General features: G+C 38.6%; 1 protein-coding gene and 1 long non-coding RNA gene across 3 annotated transcripts in view, besides 1 other annotated feature; both read right to left on the bottom strand.

Moving 5' to 3' along the window:
• The window catches only part of IPO11 (importin 11), a 215,820-nt gene that overhangs the window by 17,823 nt on the left and 181,015 nt on the right, over nt 1–16,982 (bottom strand). For both annotated transcript variants that reach the window (NM_016338.5, NM_001134779.2), the window contains exon 29: nt 8,912–8,996. In NM_016338.5, the coding sequence (NP_057422.3) occupies nt 8,912–8,996 (85 nt within the window). The remainder of the gene's footprint in view (nt 1–8,911; nt 8,997–16,982) is intronic.
• IPO11-LRRC70 (IPO11-LRRC70 readthrough) overlaps nt 1–16,982 on the bottom strand; it is a 49,855-nt gene that overhangs the window by 17,830 nt on the left and 15,043 nt on the right. Inside the window, exon 3 of the long non-coding RNA NR_073584.1 lies at nt 8,912–8,996. This is a non-coding gene — a long non-coding RNA (IPO11-LRRC70 readthrough). The remainder of the gene's footprint in view (nt 1–8,911; nt 8,997–16,982) is intronic.
• Nucleotides 616–734: a silencer, noted in NCBI's record as "fragment chr5:61905853-61905971 (GRCh37/hg19 assembly coordinates)". NCBI's record gives its function as "represses an EF-1alpha promoter that drives an FKBP-Casp9 reporter gene in an ReSE screen in HepG2 liver carcinoma cells {active_cell/tissue: HepG2}" and the evidence as "EXISTENCE:reporter gene assay evidence [ECO:0000049][PMID:32094911]".

Raw genomic sequence — 16,982 nt, 5'->3', positions numbered from 1 at the left:
TCATTTTGAAGATGCTAGTTCTATTGCCATTATATATTTAGTTGTGCAATGGTAGCAGGTAGGATTATTTGATTACTTGATCATTTGATTATTATCACTTGATTATTTGATTACTTAACTAAGAGTAAACAGAGAAATGCTTTTAATATTGTTAATTTTGTTAAGTCTTAAAAGAATGGAGTGTGAGGATTTGCACACATTTTTATAAACTGGGCCTTATGATAACCAAATTTGGTGCAAATATATGTGATATGTGATAACCAACACGTAAGTGACAACAAACCAGTGACAACCAAAAGACAGACACATGGATAAAAATTAATAGTAAAATTGCCTTCTCAATGCAAAATGAGAAGCAATAATTTATATTCACTATCTTTCAAACTGCTTTTCAATATATAGCTGGCTTTTTCCTATTATCTATCTACAAACTTTGTAAAGATCATCTTGTGCCAAAGGATAAAGAAAAAAACAAAATCATTTCAGTAATTTTTGAAGGAAAAAAGAAATAATCAGATGGCAAGCAATAAAGTAACAAATATGAGTACCTCTATGTTAACCAGGTTAACATAGCATTCAAGCCTATGCTTTTATTCACTCAAACAGTATGATAAAATATATCCAGTAATATTACAAGTACCTCATCTATGGCTGCCACTGTGGTTTGGTGGGCCAGAGGCAGCCGGTGGATGCCAACAACTGGTTGTTGCCTCACCCATGACTGCTGTTATTCCCTCCTGAGAGCTAGGCAGTGCTTCCCTAAATGGGACTGCTACAATTACAGTATCGCCAACAGCCACATCCAATGTGGTCCCAGGAGCAGGCGCCAGAAGCAGACCTACACATGTGACTACGAGTTGACCTCATATTTGCTGTAGCACCTGGACACACAACAGTTAGAACCTCATTTTCAGAAGCAACCCTTGCAGTCACCTGCTGGACATTAGGACACTGAATTATGTGCTCCCAGACCCCTGGGGACACCAACTAACATGGCAGTCTAATGAAGTGCCCATCACCTCACCCAGCATAAACTCAAACCAGGAAGACATTGGTGACTGGGAGGCCTAGGGGCAGGCCCAGCTCTTCTCCAGACTGCTCCACTAGAGATGTCAAAATGACACAATTGTGTTGTCAGCCCTACATCTCAGTTCTGTCTCTACACTGGTCTAGGAGCTCCTTGAGGGCAGGGACTGTGTCTCTCATTCATTCATTGGTCCATCCAGTCACTTATCCATTCAACAAACATTTGCTGAACACCTGATATACATCATACATGCTGTTAGGCACTAGGGAGCTTGTATCAATCATATATTTGGCCTTATTATAGGGATTTGATCTTCCATGACTGTGAGAACCAGTTAAACGTCTAGTCCATGGAAGGCTGTTTCTTTTTGTGCTGGTGATGCTATAGCCTGAAGTCATATGGCCCAAGGGACAGGGCAAAGTGAAACTGCAAGAATGAGTAGAACCTACAAGAACAGATGGGAACACCCTTTAGCCTCTCATCACTTCCAAGTCTTCAACTTTGCTGATGGGGTATCTTCTAAGAGAAGCCAATGCCTTCATTATTAAACTAGGCATGTGCCTGGCTCTAAAGTAAGAGAAGCTAGAGAGGATCTGGCAGGACGTGGAGTTGGTGCAGTTCCAGCTGCTTCCCCACACCAACATGGTGAGCCAGCAGACAAGTGACAACACACATTAGCTGCAACATCACACTCTGCTGACTTTCTGAATAAAAATCATATGAGGCTACACAGTGTATGAGTCCTACTGCATAACATTCCAGAAAAGACAAAACGATGGAGACAGTAAAAACACCAGGGGCTCAGGGGAGGGAGGGATGACTAGGCAGAGCACAGGATTTTGAAGGCAGTGAAACTCTTACGTATGATACTACAATGTTGGATACACATCGTTATACATTTATTAAGACCCATAGAATGTACAATACCAGAGTGAACCCTAACATAAACTATCAATTGTCAGTGATGATGTGTCAATGTAGGGTCATCAGCTGTAACAAATTTAACACTGTGGTACAGGATGTGGACAGTGGGGGAGGTTGCATCTATGTGGGGGACACGGCATATATGGGAATTAAAATGGCAAATGAGAAAACTCAGTGGGGAGAAAAGGGACAAAAGGGCTATTCCAGATGGAGGACTAGCATGTAATAGAGGCAGAAACCATATAACGTGTGGAGACAAGTCATTTGGTTTAGCCAGTGAAGGAGATAGAATGAGAATACAGGACAAAGTTTAAAAGGAGGCAGACTGCAGAGGTCTTTCTTAAAAGAGTGTCAAGGGGTTTAATTCTTATTCTAGTGGTTTTCAACCCTGGTTATATACCAAAAGAACATGTGAAGCTTTTAGAAAATATGTATGCCTGATTCCCAGGCCCCCAGATACAGTAAGTCTGAAATAGAGAGGGTGAGGGCTATAGCTTGTCCAAAGGTAAAAACAGCAAAGAATATGGTACTCTAGGATTTAAGAGGACAAAGTAAGGAAAAATTGTAGGGCTCCAGATAAAGTTCAAAATAGATCTACCAAAAGAAAAGGAATGATTAGTAAGGAAGAAGAGACTGTGATGAGAGAGAAATGTTGGAGTTCAAGGTTTGGGGTCAAGATGTGGCATGAGAGGCCAGGAGTGGTGGCTCATGCCTGTAATCCCAGCACTTTGGGAGGCCAAGGCGGGTGGATCACTTGAGGTCAGGAGTTCAGGAACAGCCTGGCCAACATGGTGAAACCCCGTCTCTAACCTAAAAATACAAAAATTATCCAGCAGTGGTGGTGCACACCTGTAATCCCAGCTACTTGGGAGGCTGAAGCAGGAGAATCGCTTGAACCCGGGAGGCAGAGGTTGCAGTGAGCTGAGATAGCAGGTTGCAGTGAGCTGAGATAGCACCACTGCACTCCAGCCTGGGTGACAGAGTAAGACTCTCCAAAAAAAAAAAAAAGAGATGTGGCATGATACTAGAAGTGATAAATGTTAACTGCGCAAGTTGAGAAAAGAAAAAAGGTCTCTCAACTCATAACCTGGGTGGACTGCATGTAAGCTGAATACTAAAAAGTATTTTCAACAATGCTATAATTTATCTTGATTACTGAATGCTATAAGGTAAGGATTCTCAAAGGGCAGTTCTGAAGCCACCAATATGATGATGAATTATTCTCATATTATTTGCAAAAGGAAAATGTATTTTATGCATACATTAAAAATTACTGATATTTAATTAAGAACAACACAGTACCTTATCAGTACCAATACAATTCTATCTTTATAGTAGTTCTGCTGAGGTTTTCTAGAAGCAAATGGGAGCAGGCAAAAGAATCAATCTACTGGTTCTCAGTGGTCAAAATCATCCAGAGAGAGTTTAAAAACTCCCACCCCAAGCCACTACCACAGGGTGCCCTGTTGACATTATATTTGGAATAAAGATTTCCAGAAAACCTTATGAAATAGTTTCAACTCATAACAGTGTCACTTTCCTTTTGATGATGTATTCTAAATTCTAACAAGTACAAGTCTAAAGAAAGCTTCTAGATCCAAAAGTTAGACAAAATGAAAGTTTTCAGAGTTGATGAGTAAAGGAGGGGAAAGCAGGGAGGGGAAAATGAGGGAGATATCTCTGTGCTCTAAGAGAAAAATGTTAGCTATGTGTAGGCTCTGATTGCAGGACAATTCCATCCTCACAGTGCAGCACTGTTCTCCATCCTTGAGCCAGTACAGTATTTGGCAAGAGCAGTACAGAAACAATAATCACTCTAAGACAGTACAAAAGCCATGCTCAGGATTTGTTATATTTGGCATGAAACTTAGGATGTACTTATAAATTCATCAAATAAAATGCAACTCAACCTAACGTATAGTTTACTTACATATGCTGGAGCCTAGGCAAAAGACTATGATGCCAAGCTTGCCAGAGCTGCAGTCTACACATACTTGATTGCATTAAAAAGCTAAGTAAAGCTGCAGATTATGTTTGCCATATATATGTTTCAATTTAAAACACATTCAAATGATAATGCAGCAGATGGGACTACAGGCGCATGCCACCACGCCCGGCTAATTTTTTTGTATTTTTAGTAGAGATGGGGTTTCACTGTGTTAGCCAGGGTGGTCTCGATCTCCTGACTTCGTGATCTGCCTATCTCGGCCTCCCGAAGTGCTGGGATTACAGGCGTGAGCCACCGTACCCGGCCGCACACATTTTAACTTCAGTGGTTTGTAATGAGACATAAGGGTTCTCCTTTTTTTTTTTTTTTTTTTTTTTTTTAAGACAGGGTCTCGTTCTGTTGTCTAGGCTGGAGTACCAGTGGCATGATTTTGGCTCACTGCAACCTCCGTCTCCCATGTTCAAGCAATCCTCCCACCTCAGCCTCCCAAGTAGCTGGGACTACAGATGCACGCCATCATGCCCAGCTAAATTTTTTTTTTTTTTAGAGGCAGGATTCACCTATGTTGCCCAGGCTGGTCTTGAACTCCTAGGCTCAAGCGATTTGCCCACCTCGGCCTCCCAAAGTACTGGGATTACAGGCATAAGCCACCACGCCTGGCCCAACTTTTCTCTTTCTGAATGAGCTCAACTGGTAACAGATTTGCTCATTAGCTTGATTCAGCCATTCTGCAATATACACATATTTTAAAACACCATGTTGTACACCACAGATACATACAGTTTTCATTTGCCCATTTAAAAAAAACCAAGTAATAATATGAAAAAATAGGGAGGGTGGAGTGGCTCACACCTGTAATGCCGGCACTTTGGAAGGCTGACAAGGGAGGATCTCTTGAGCCTAAGAGTTCGAGACCAGCCTAAGCAACAAAGTGGGACCCTGTCTCTACAAAACATGTAAAAATTAGCGTAGTGGCATGCACATGCGGTCTCAGCTACACAGGAAGCTGAGACAGGAAGGTTCTTTGAGCCCAGGAAGTTGAGGCTGAGTAAACCATGTTTGCACCCATTGCACTCCAACCTGGACAACAGAGCAAGACTATCCCAAAAAAGTAAATAAAATAATAATAATAATAATAATAATAATACTTTGTTAGCTGGTATCATAGAGTTGTGAGAAAGCATTAAAATGCTCAAAACTAGAATTTGGAAATTACAACTTACAAGTGACTATGAGTCAGATTTCAAAAAATTACAAAAAACTAAAGATGTTAATAAATTAGCTGAAGTCTTTATAGTAAAGGTCATAAAATTATTATTCTACTAATTAGAATATACTGGACAGAAAGGAAACATATATTAAATGAAATGCTTGAGCTGCATGTGCTATTCTAAGTATTATTTCACCGAAATGAAAGGTAGAGAGAGAGGCTGAATGAAAAGGGAGATCAAAAGGCTGGACAGCTTAATAGCTTTCCTGAGTGTAAATTTCATCCTTATTTGAAATAAAATATAGAGAATTCTCAGAAACGTATGGAAAATTATTTGGCACATTTGATATAATATTAATCATCTGCCTTTCTGAACTACAATCACTACTGCTATTCTCTACCAAAGCAGCTGCTGAAACACAGACACCACATTTTATGGACTACTTTAAGACAACAATGACAGTAAGCGAATCAAATTTTCATTTATGTGACCTTGGAACTAAGCAGCTATATTTTTCTTCCTAGCAAATAATTTCATTTTAAAATGAGAAAAGCCTTTGCTAATTTTTTTGTAAAGAATAATTCATAACCATTTGCCAGCAAATGTTTACTCTCCCCCTTTGAAGAAACAACCAAGATATTGCTGGATAGTTCTCAAAAAATGTCTAACGTTATAGACAATACAGTTCAAGATTGACGTAATTACTGAAAAAATACATTAACTTATAATTCTAAGAGATAAGTGAAACAAATTTTCTTTGTTTAAAGTTGTTGGAAAATTAGCATGTATTCATAATTGGATTTATTAAATGTTATACAATACACAATCCCAGCTTCAGTCAAAAACTGCTGTGGTATCCTCAGCATATCTAAGAGCAGTGGGTATCCAAGAGCAAGACCAAGGTACTGGAAATCTTACTAGAGATGATAATATAAATCTATATTAAATATCTACTGTAGTAAGTAACTTAAAATCGGCCACTTAAAAAAATAATGGTTGTTTTATAAACCAATACTACATATAATTAGAATGATAAAGTGGGGGTGTGAGCAGTAGAAAGACAAATGTTAGGCTATACTTAGAGATTATTACTGTAGGTGCAAAAAAAAATACTTTCCACGTATTTAAGATACCACATAGGCCAGGCATGGTGGCTCACACCTGCAATCCCAGCACTTTGGGAGGCCAAGGTGGGCAGATCACCTGAGGTCAGGAGTTCAAGACCAGCTTGGCCAACATGGCAAAACCCCGTGCCCACTAAAAATACAAAAAAATTAGCCAGACATGGTGGCACACACTTGTAGTCCCAGCTACTCGGGAGGCTGAGGTATGGTTACTGCTTGAACCTGGGAGGCGGAGGTTGCAGAGAGCCGAGATCATACCACTGCACTCCAGCCTGGGTGATAGAGCGAGACTCCATTGCAAAACAAAACAAAACAAAACAACCACAAAACAGTTTAATTTCAAAGGAAAAATACTTCTCGAGATATATAGTCATGCATTGCTTAAAGATGAGCATACATTCTGAGAAATGCATTGTTAGGCAAGTTCCTTGTGTAAACATTATGGAGTGTGCTTACACAAACCTAGATGGTACAGCCTACAATACACCTAGGCTACATGGTATAACCTATTGCTCCTAGGCAACAAATCTGTACAGCATGTTACTGTAGCGAATACTGTAGGCAACTGTAACCAAGTAGTATCTGTGTATCTAAACACATCAAAACACATAAAAGGTACAGTAAAAATATGGTATCATTATCTTATCGGACCACTATCATATGCAGTGTGCTGTTGACCGAAATGTTGTGTTGCTGAGCAGTGCATGACTGCGCAGCAGGTCCTTGCTATCATCATTTCATTGTAACTTTGAAAAGGAAAACAAATGGATTTGGGCTGGGTCCACTGTCTGTGTGGAGTTTGCATGTTCTCTCCATGTCTGCGTGACTTTTCTCTGGGTACTCCAGTTTCCTCCCACATCCCAAAGCTGTGCACACTAGGTGAACTGGCGTGTTTAAATTGTTCCCATCTGAGTGTAAGTGTGTGCAAGTGCACCCTGTCAGGAAATGGTGTCCTGTCCAGGACTGGTTCCCGTCTTGCACCCTTAGCTGCTAGGACAGGCTCCAGCCACCCACTACCGTAAAGCAGAATAAGTGGGTTGCAAAAATGAAAGAATGAATGAATACAAATTATTGTCATACAAATGCATATAAATGCTGCTCTATGAAAGCTTTCAGCGAGCTCGCCAGATTTGTTCGTTTTTGAAGTGCATGGCAGTAGGAGGTGCTCCTTACAATTTTCACTTTGCAAACATTTATTCCTTGATTTAACCCACCATCACGACCATCATCACTCACTGATTCACCAAAAACAAGGGAAAATAATTTAACTTGTTTTCATTAATCTTTCTTAAACGTATATATAGCTCACACTTACTTCAATGTTAAATATTAGAAGTGTTTTGGATCTTTATTAAGAAGTTCGGTGATGTTTTTGTGACCAGAAATATGCTGTAGGAGCTTCTTGTTTAGATCAATTAGCCCATGGTACAACTAGGTTCATTATATGTTTTTCTGCTTCAAGTTACAGTTTCCAAGAAACTATCAATGATGTTAAATGAGGACTTATTATATGTACAAACATTGTTTTGGGGGAAGAAAAGTAATGATATTAAGAGTTTTAACAGTAATTTTTCAGTTCGAAGACCCTGGAAATATGCTAATCCAATTTCTGCCGCTTTTCACAGATGAGGCAAACGGATCTACAAAGACAAGGTGACTTGCTCAAGGTCACAAGTAATAGTAAAAAAGGACTAGAATTCAGGTCTTAAGAATCTTTGGATGTTGTCCTTTCCTCTACACTATGTGCTAGGGAGATGATACCTAGCATAAAAGCAAAGTAAAATGAGTTAAATTCAAACAGTTTAAAAGAAGGCTCTCAGAGCAGTGCAATGTTAGCTATAAGCTAAGGATTAGGCCCTTGAGAGCTAACGTGCTGTAATGCGAGGTGTAAATACAATGATCAGATTAAAATGACAGCTAACTCTTACAGAGTAATTACTAGGTATCCATAACCATTTTAATTATTTATTCTATCTATGAGGTAGATACAATTGTTTTCATTTTGCAAATGAGGAAAGAAGGTATAATAAAGTTAGTTAAATGATGAGGCCAGAAGACAAGAAAAGATTCCAAAAGAAAAGGGAAAAAATAGTTTCTTATGTACCTATTTTCTATTTATGGTAAAAATAAATATTTAAACATTCACGATTATATATAATATTAAAAGGCAAGATATTTTAGATATTTCCTTTTTTTTTGTTCTTTTCCCCTTATCAGATTCCTCTGGTGAGAATTAGTGGTTTTTACAACAAGTTAGTGGTTAACTTAAGGGCATTTTTATAAAAGCCTGTGATGCAGATCAGCAAAAGTTCATGTGAAGATCTATAAAATAATAGGGAATGCAAGGAAATTTCAGTACATCTCCTCAAAACAGAAGAATAAACATTTCAACTTAAATAAGGTTTGCAGGTCACACATACCTTCCATAAGTAAAACACTAAATCATCTGCTCTGCACTAAGATAAGCAACAGTTATTTCAGATGAAAAGTTAACCTCAACTTTCTGTACTAGGAATAAAATGTATCTGTTTTAGGGTACACCTTACATTAATTCTGTAACATGGGATAGATGGATAGACATATAGCTGGATGGACAAATAGACCATAGATATTTCTGAACCTACAGAAAATGATAATATATGGTTCTTAATTTTTACAAGCTACTTTTATAACTTACCATCTTTTTCCTCTTATCTTGTTCTGTGGGTGGTTCTTCATCTTCTGTTACTTTTGGTTCCTCAAGATGAGACATCAACATACAGCTATAATAATTTTTTAAAAAACATGTTTTAAATAAAAATGTCTATAATACACTTAAAAATAAGTCCTTAAAATCACTAAGAACATGAATAATTCTATGTTCTTAGTTTTTCACACCAAAATGTGAGAAAAAGACTAGATAATTTAAAATTTAACAAAATTTTTGAATTATGAAAAGATATCTCACTATAAAAAGGGCCACACTAAAACATTTTAGAGCATTTTACTTGGGCATTTCAGTTAGTAATTTATTTATACGCCACTTCTGAAACAATGAACCATCAGCTGACAAAGTAATGCATGTATACACTTTATATGTTATTTAAAAATGACATAAACTCTTAAAATACTTATTTTTCCCCATAATTTTCACATCTACAGAATTTTATACATGCAATAATTTAAATATCACAAACATATTAATTATGTAACAATCTACCTTGTGTTCCAAATGACATGACTGTGCTATGAGGAACTTGTCCTGATAGCACTTGTACCTTCTGGGTAGTTATAAATCATTTTATTTTGAATATCTGCACCATGCTCTTTACTATTAGCAGAGGTAACAGAAACAGTTTCCTGTTCAGTCAACAATGGTTCCAGGGAGACCAGAAATCAACACTGTCTAGTGAATCAAACTGATGGAACAATCCCACTGTTTCCTAACTTGTAACAGGAGAATTCAGTAATTTATCAGCATGATCATAGGTTCCTAACCAATAAACAGTGGCAAAGAAAGTTTGGGTTCTCTTGTTTTGTAGCAAGTACAGGTGAAGGACAATTCCTGACTCAGCTGTGTAAACAGCTTTTAATACAGAACTAACACAGGTGCGGATACCAGAAAACTTGATCAGGCTCATTCTTGCAGTGGAAACAAGTGTCTTTCGTTTCTATTTCCTACCATTAAAAAAGCAATGTTTGGAGTGACTGCCTCTGATCCAGTCAGTGCCCACTGGTGGGATCAAAGAGTAAGAACCTTAGGCTAGAAATCAGAAGTCCTGAAAAACGGCAGGAACTCAATCCCTAACTCACTGCATGGCCTTGACCTGGGGCTGCAATGCTTTTGTCTGCCATGATATAATACAGTGTAGTACAAGTAGCTGGCCAATGGACTCTGACACAAAGTAAGAAAATTACATTACTCTATCAACCCAAAAGCTATTTAATAAAGTGAAGTGTCTTAAAAAGGTCTACATCCCAGTTTGTATTTTAGAACTGAATAATAATATGGGGTTTCTTTACACTAGCCAATTTATGTCTGTTGCAGACCTGAATTCTAACTGCAATGACTATGGATCTGCATGAAAGCATGCTTTATTCTGCATCAAATTCTTCCACTGCATTCCAAAATCTGTTAACTTACTCATATAGTGAATGCTCTCTGTTCTGCCTCCCTAAATTAAAAGATTTATCATATTAAGACTGGGCATGGTGGCATACACCTGTAATCCCAGCACTTTGGGAGGCTGAGGTGGGTGAATCCCCTGAGGTCAGAAGCTCGAGACCAACCTGGACAACATGGTGAAGCCCCTTGTTTACTAAAAGAAAAAATACAAAAACTAGCCAGGCGTGGTGGCAGGCTCCTGTAATCTCAGCTACTTGGCAGGCTGAGATGGGAGAAATTGCCTGAACCCACGAGGTGGAGGTTGCAGTGAGCCAAGATCGTGCCACTGCACTCCAGACTGGGCAACAGAGCAAGATTCTGTCTCCCCCACCCCCAAAAAAAGAAGATTTATCACATTAATATTAGAGTATACTCTGGAGTTACATATATACAGATTTTACTTCTTTCACTGACCAAAAACTAGACAAATAACAGAATACTGAAAAGCCCAAAGCTAAAACTGTCCTGCAGGAAAATTTCCAACTAAAAGTCAAATCTCATTTTGTTGATAAAGATTAAAGATAGACAATCACGCTTTACATAAAAGATACGTAAGAATTAACAGATTTCTAATAAACTGAAGTGTGTAGACTGTGCATGCAGTAATAGTTATACTAATAAAACAGTAAACACAACAGTTTAAAATAGGAATGACTAACGTGAATATAAGTGGCCACTCCTCCATTCTAAACTCAAGGCAGAAATCACCGAATAGATCCAGGCACTCCAGCCTGCTAAATAAGAATCTTTCTCAAGAAGAAACTTCAACCAGCTAAACAGAACCAACAGGTGTTAGCATGAAAAAATGAAACCTTTTAAGTCATTTCTGGGTTTAAAGGTACTTGTAGTAATACTTTCATTTAATCTATATAAACTCTGCCCTAAGTAATTCAGCCATTTTACAGATGAGAAAAGGCTGAATTTACAAACATTCATTGAGCGCTGATAAACAGTATTTTTCCTCAAAATTTTTGTTGTCTAAATGAACTTTTCTCTACTTCAGGGTATCAAATTTGGATGCTTTAAAATTGCCCTTATTCTAGCACCTGAACAGAATAAGTGCAATTGTCTAAAAAAAGCTTAGTTCCACTCTACCTGGAGCCCATCTGTGTGCACAGGAGGGATAGTTGGGGCAAAGGCCAAGTATTCCAGTCATTTTCTTAATGTCCAATATCAGCGATTCTCAAACTTGAGTTTTCAGCTCAACCACTTGAAGGGCTTTGTTAAAGCACAGTTGGGCCCCACTCCCATAGTGTCTAATTCAGTAGAGTTTGATGGAGCCTGAGAATCTGCATGTCTCACAAGTTCCTCTGTGATGGTTTCTCATCATTTCCTCCGTCATGTTGATGCTAATGTTGTTGAGGAAGTTGTGGGGGACACACACTTTGTTAACCCCCATTCTATGTTAGGGCAAACCACCAAAACGCTTCCTACTTATATTTTTTTACCTCTGGCCTCCAATAAATTGTTTAATAATGATTTTTTTTATGGCTATGTAACTGACTTTCAGCTAGGCTGATATAAGAAATGATTTATGGGCCAGGTGCGGTGGGTCACACCTGTAATCCCAGCACTTTGGGAGTCTGTGGCAAGCAGATCACTTGAGGTCAGGAGTTCAAGACCAGCCTGGCCAACATAGTGAAACCCCATTTCTACTAAAAATACAATAATTAGCCAGGCGTGGTGGCACGTGCCTGTAATCCCAGCTACTCGGGAGGCTGAGATGAGAGAACTGCTTGAACCTGGTAGGCAGAGGTTGCAATGAGCCGAGATCACACCACTGCACTCCAGGCTGGGCAACAGGGCAAGACTCCATAAAAAAAAAAAAGAAAGAAAAGAAAGAAAAGAAAGAAAAGAAAGAAAGAAAGAAAGAAAGAAAGAAAGAAAGAGAGAGAGAGAGAGAGAGAGAGAGAGAGAGAGAGAGAGAGAGAGAGAGAGAGAGAGAGAGAGAAAGAAAGAAAGAAAGAAAGAAAGAAAGAAAGAAAGAAAGCAAGCAAGCAAGCAAACAATTTATGGGTCGTTTCACATAAGACAAAACTGACATTGTTCAGTTGGTCTCTGTAGTGGACCTATATAATCAGCCTCTTTCCTAATTGAACCCTGAATCTGTACAGTTATCCTCTTTTCCCATGCTACCACTGTTTCAGAAAAAGCTGATCCCAGCCCCCCAGTGCCAGTAGTTCAATAAGCAATCATGGAGATCCCATTCCCCTGGTCAATGATTACTTTCAGCAGGAGAATGTTTAAGGAATTCTGGCCAATTAGACATAAGAAGACATCTAATGCAATGATTTCCAGAAAAGGATTGCCTTGATCTTAAAAAAGACATAAGGAAGAAGATTACTTATCTGTCAGTGGCATTGTCATGAACTGTAATGCCTAGAACTACTTTTTATCGATGAGGAATGGTAGCCTGCAGATGAGGTTAATATGCTGAGGGGATGGAGTAGAAAAAAACTCAGGCTTTGATGATGTTGCTAAGGCCACAGTCAGCTAATCCTGGAGTCACTTACCTACAGTCATTAGTGTATCAGAAACAACTAATTCTTTATTGTTAAAACGGACAGTCCTTGTATAGTCACTTATATAAATATTAATAAAAAATGCACTTCTGGGCTCAGGGCATGACAACTCAGTGAGAAGAAATATTATGAGTCTCCCTCTCCTGTGTTAAATTACATTTAGCCTAAAGTTTCTTCCTCACACATTTTAAGTTCAGCCTGAAGGTCTCTTCGTACACAGTAAAGTGTAACCTAACTGGAAGTGTAGAGATTGTAATCTTTTCTTGTACTAATCAGAGTTTTAGCCAATCATAGGTGGCCAACTGTTGAACATGTGTCCAAATAAGGCAAATGCTGAGCTGTAACCAATCCAGCTGTTTCAGTACCCTATTTCCCTTTTCTGTACCTCACTTTCCCGTTTCTGCTCATAAATATTATCTGACCAGGTACAGCCCTGAAGACACTGTGAACCAATTCTGGTTCTGGGGGCTGCCCAATTTGTGAACAATTCTTTGCTTAATCAAACTCTGTTAAATTGAATTTGTCTTAAGTTTAACACCTGATAAACCTACTTTCTTCTACTTGAAAATAAGACCCATGTAATTCCTAATGTTTCTTTTTTTTATCCTGGTAATTAGAAAGCATATAGCTAAGTTTTATATCCTGATGCCACAGGTTTCCCAAATCAAGGTTTCTTATTTAAATCCCTTCAATCCTATGTTAATAGTTTTCTGTTATAATGAGCATGTGCTTTCTTTTGCACTGTCTCAAATCCTCTTACCGTCACTAGACTGAATATAAGCAACTAAATATTGTATATTAGCAGTAAAGACAAAGTGCCATGAAGAAACAGGGAAAGATGGAATGAATTCTTCCTATAAGCCTGGAATGCAATTTTAGAGGTAGATATTTGCGAAGGAGGATAAGGGCTTGACACACCAAGGAGCAGAAATATTATTAGTCAAGCCATAAGTGTATGGCATGTTTGCAGAATGATGAAGAATCCAGGGAGACAAGAGAGAAAGCTGGTGTCTGAGTCAGCACAGAATAGAGCCCCATTAACTTGATCCTGTAAGAAACTCAGCTTTTAATTTTAAGTGGGGCAGAATGGATCAGAGGGGGAAAACTGAAGAGAGAGAGACTTCCTAAGGAGGTCACTAGGATCTACACAAGTTAAGATAATATACAGATGTCAGAATCCAGGAACCAACATTTCTTCTAGTATTCTCTATTCTATTCTGAAGAGCCGTTCAGTGGGTCAATGTATTGAGTGAAGGAGAAAAAAGTCCTTATAAAAGCCAAATTTTAACTTTTAGAATCCCAGGCTGTTCTACTGGTCTGAGACCACTCACCAACATCTACCCCGCCAGTCTTCCTCCACAATGGACCAAAGTGACCTTTCTAAGTATAAATCTGATTATGTCCCTCCAGTGTGGAAATCACCAGTGGACCTCCACTGACTACAGAATAGTTTCAAATAAGACTATTTCCTTTATACTTGGTATGTTTTGTACTTTCTAGCTATAAAAACAATTTATGAGTCATTTTCTAGTCAAATTTTAGTGCCTCTAGGCTTCTTAAAATGCTGGCTAAATTCTTTTTTTTTTTTTTTGAGACAGGGCCTTGGTCTGTCACCCAAGCTGGAGTGTAGTGGTGCAATCACAGCTCACTGCAGCCTCGATGTCTCAGGCTCAAGCAATCTTCCCACCTCAGCCTCCCAAGCAGCTGCTAAGCAGGGACTAAAGGCATGTGCCTGGCTGATTTTCAATTTTTTTTTTTTTTTTAATAGAGACAGGGTCTCACTATGTTGCCAGGGCTGGTCTCCAACTCCTGGGCTCAAGCGATTCTACCGTCTCGGCCTCCTAAAGTGCTAGGATTACAGGCATGAGCCACCGCGCCGGGCCACTAAATTCTTTCTTCCTTTTTACTTCCCAAACCTTGGTAAGGGATTGTCAATTTCATTTCCCAATATTCCTTTCAACAAAAATATTATTGAAGGAAATAAAAGAGAAATACTCTAACCAGACAAGCAGAAAGCAAAGAAGGCAAATCTCTAGCCCCATCAATGTATTTTCTTGGCTTAATAAAAACTCTAGCTAAAAAAATAATAAAAACAAAAACCAACCAAACCACAAACCCACCAACAAAACCCCAACAAATAAACACATTCTTCAACTCTCAAAATGGAATTCTTCTTTCTTCCAAAAGAATTCATTTTCTGTACAACTCTGAAGAAATACTAGTATCAACGTTAATAGGCAACTGTTGACTATCCATTTATCTTGGAAGATAAAACTTTTCTAACTTTAAAAAAAGAGGGATCATTAGAAGGGAAAATAAAAGCCCATTTCCATTTTTTTCCACACAGAATGTTGTTTAAATTTTAAAATGCCTGTTCAATATGTTATGAGGACAAATCAAGGTATAAAAATAAGCATAGGCTACAGGTATAAGCACAACTATTTTTAAAAATTATATATGCATGTGTATGTCATATGTCACCCAAACTGTAAACACCTTTCAATCCTCTTTAGCCATACCTACCTGTCCCCATTTCCTGCTAATCCTTCCTCCAAAATATATCTCAAATTCATCTCATCACCACTCACCAAGATAAGACTACTTTAACAGCTACCTAAATGGTTTTCCCACTTCCACAGCAGTAGGTTCTCATTTACAGTGTATATGAAACATCACAGTTCCTGTTTGCAATGCAGATTCTACTGTGTGACCCCCAAAGATTCTGAATAATGAGTCTGCACTGAGGAAGGAGAATCTGCATTTCTAACATGCATTCCAGGTTGTTCCACTGGTCTGAGACCACGCACCAGCATCTACCCCTTCTGTCGTCCTCCACAATGCATCAAAGTGACCTTTCTAAGTATAAATCTGATCATGTCCCTCCGGTGTGGAAATCACCAGGAGACCTCCATTGACTACAGAATACAGACCACAATTCTTTGTATTTCACAAAGGTTACTTAACTAGTTGGCTCCAATCCACTACATATCCTTAAGAATGATTCTCAGTTTCCCTGGACTCCTTTCTCTCTTGCACCTGGTATTGCTCCATTGGTCCCTGTCTCCCCTTCTAGGTTGTGGGCTCTCTCAGGTGAGAGACTCAGTTGCTTCCTCACACTACACAGTGCCTGGTGTAAACAGTTTGAATAAAAAGATGATCTGTCAACAAGGCTTTCTTAGTGTGATGGCTAATTTTGTGTCAACTTGACTGAGATACTGAGTGCCCAGCAATCTGGTTAAACATTACTCTGGGTGTATCAGCGAGCCTGTTTCTGCATGAGATTAGCATTTGAATCTATAAACTGGGTAAAGCAGTTTGCCCTCCCCATGTGGGTAGACCTCAGTCAATCCACTGAAAGCCTGAATAAAACTGACTGGATGAGGAAGAATTCATCCTCTGGCTGCTTCAAGCTGGGACACTGTACTTCTTCCGTCTTCAGAGCCAACCAGTTAAGTAACCTTTGTGAAATACAAAGAACTGTGGACTGTATTCTGTACTCAATGGAGGTCCACTGGTGATTTCCACACTGGAGGGACATGATCAGATTTATACCTCAGACTTACATCATGGGCTCTCATGGGTCCTAAGCTTGCTGATGGTAGATTTTGAACTCCTCAGCCTCCATAATCATGTGAGCCAATTCCTTACAATCAATTTCTTTATATATACATATTTTTGTCTCCTGTTGGTTCTGTTTCTCTGGAGAACCCTAGTACACTACTGATGTAGGTGAAGGAAATAGAGTTTTCTTCCTTTTTTCCAATTCACTCAGTTAAGAGACTATAATAAGAATTCAACAGAACCAGAAAGATTAACTTTTTTGAATAAACTGTTTAAATAAACAGGAAGGGGAAGTTGAAAGCCAAGTTAGCTACATAAGTATGTATTTTATGTTTCTCACACAGGCATTTCTGAAAGTTTATTTATGCCTTATAGTCTCATGGACTGTAACTTATAGAACTCTATTTAATTCATAGAATTATAATGTAGGAAGATTTAATAGAGATCTAGTCTAACCACTCTTTGAAACAGAGACACAGAAAAGTGTATCTCTTGGTAATTTATTTCTCAACTGTGTTTCT

The sequence above is a fragment of the Homo sapiens genome, chromosome 5 (assembly GCF_000001405.40).
Source record: "Homo sapiens chromosome 5, GRCh38.p14 Primary Assembly".
Lineage (NCBI taxonomy): Eukaryota > Metazoa > Chordata > Mammalia > Primates > Hominidae > Homo > Homo sapiens.
This window is presented reverse-complemented; position numbering and strand designations above follow the sequence as displayed.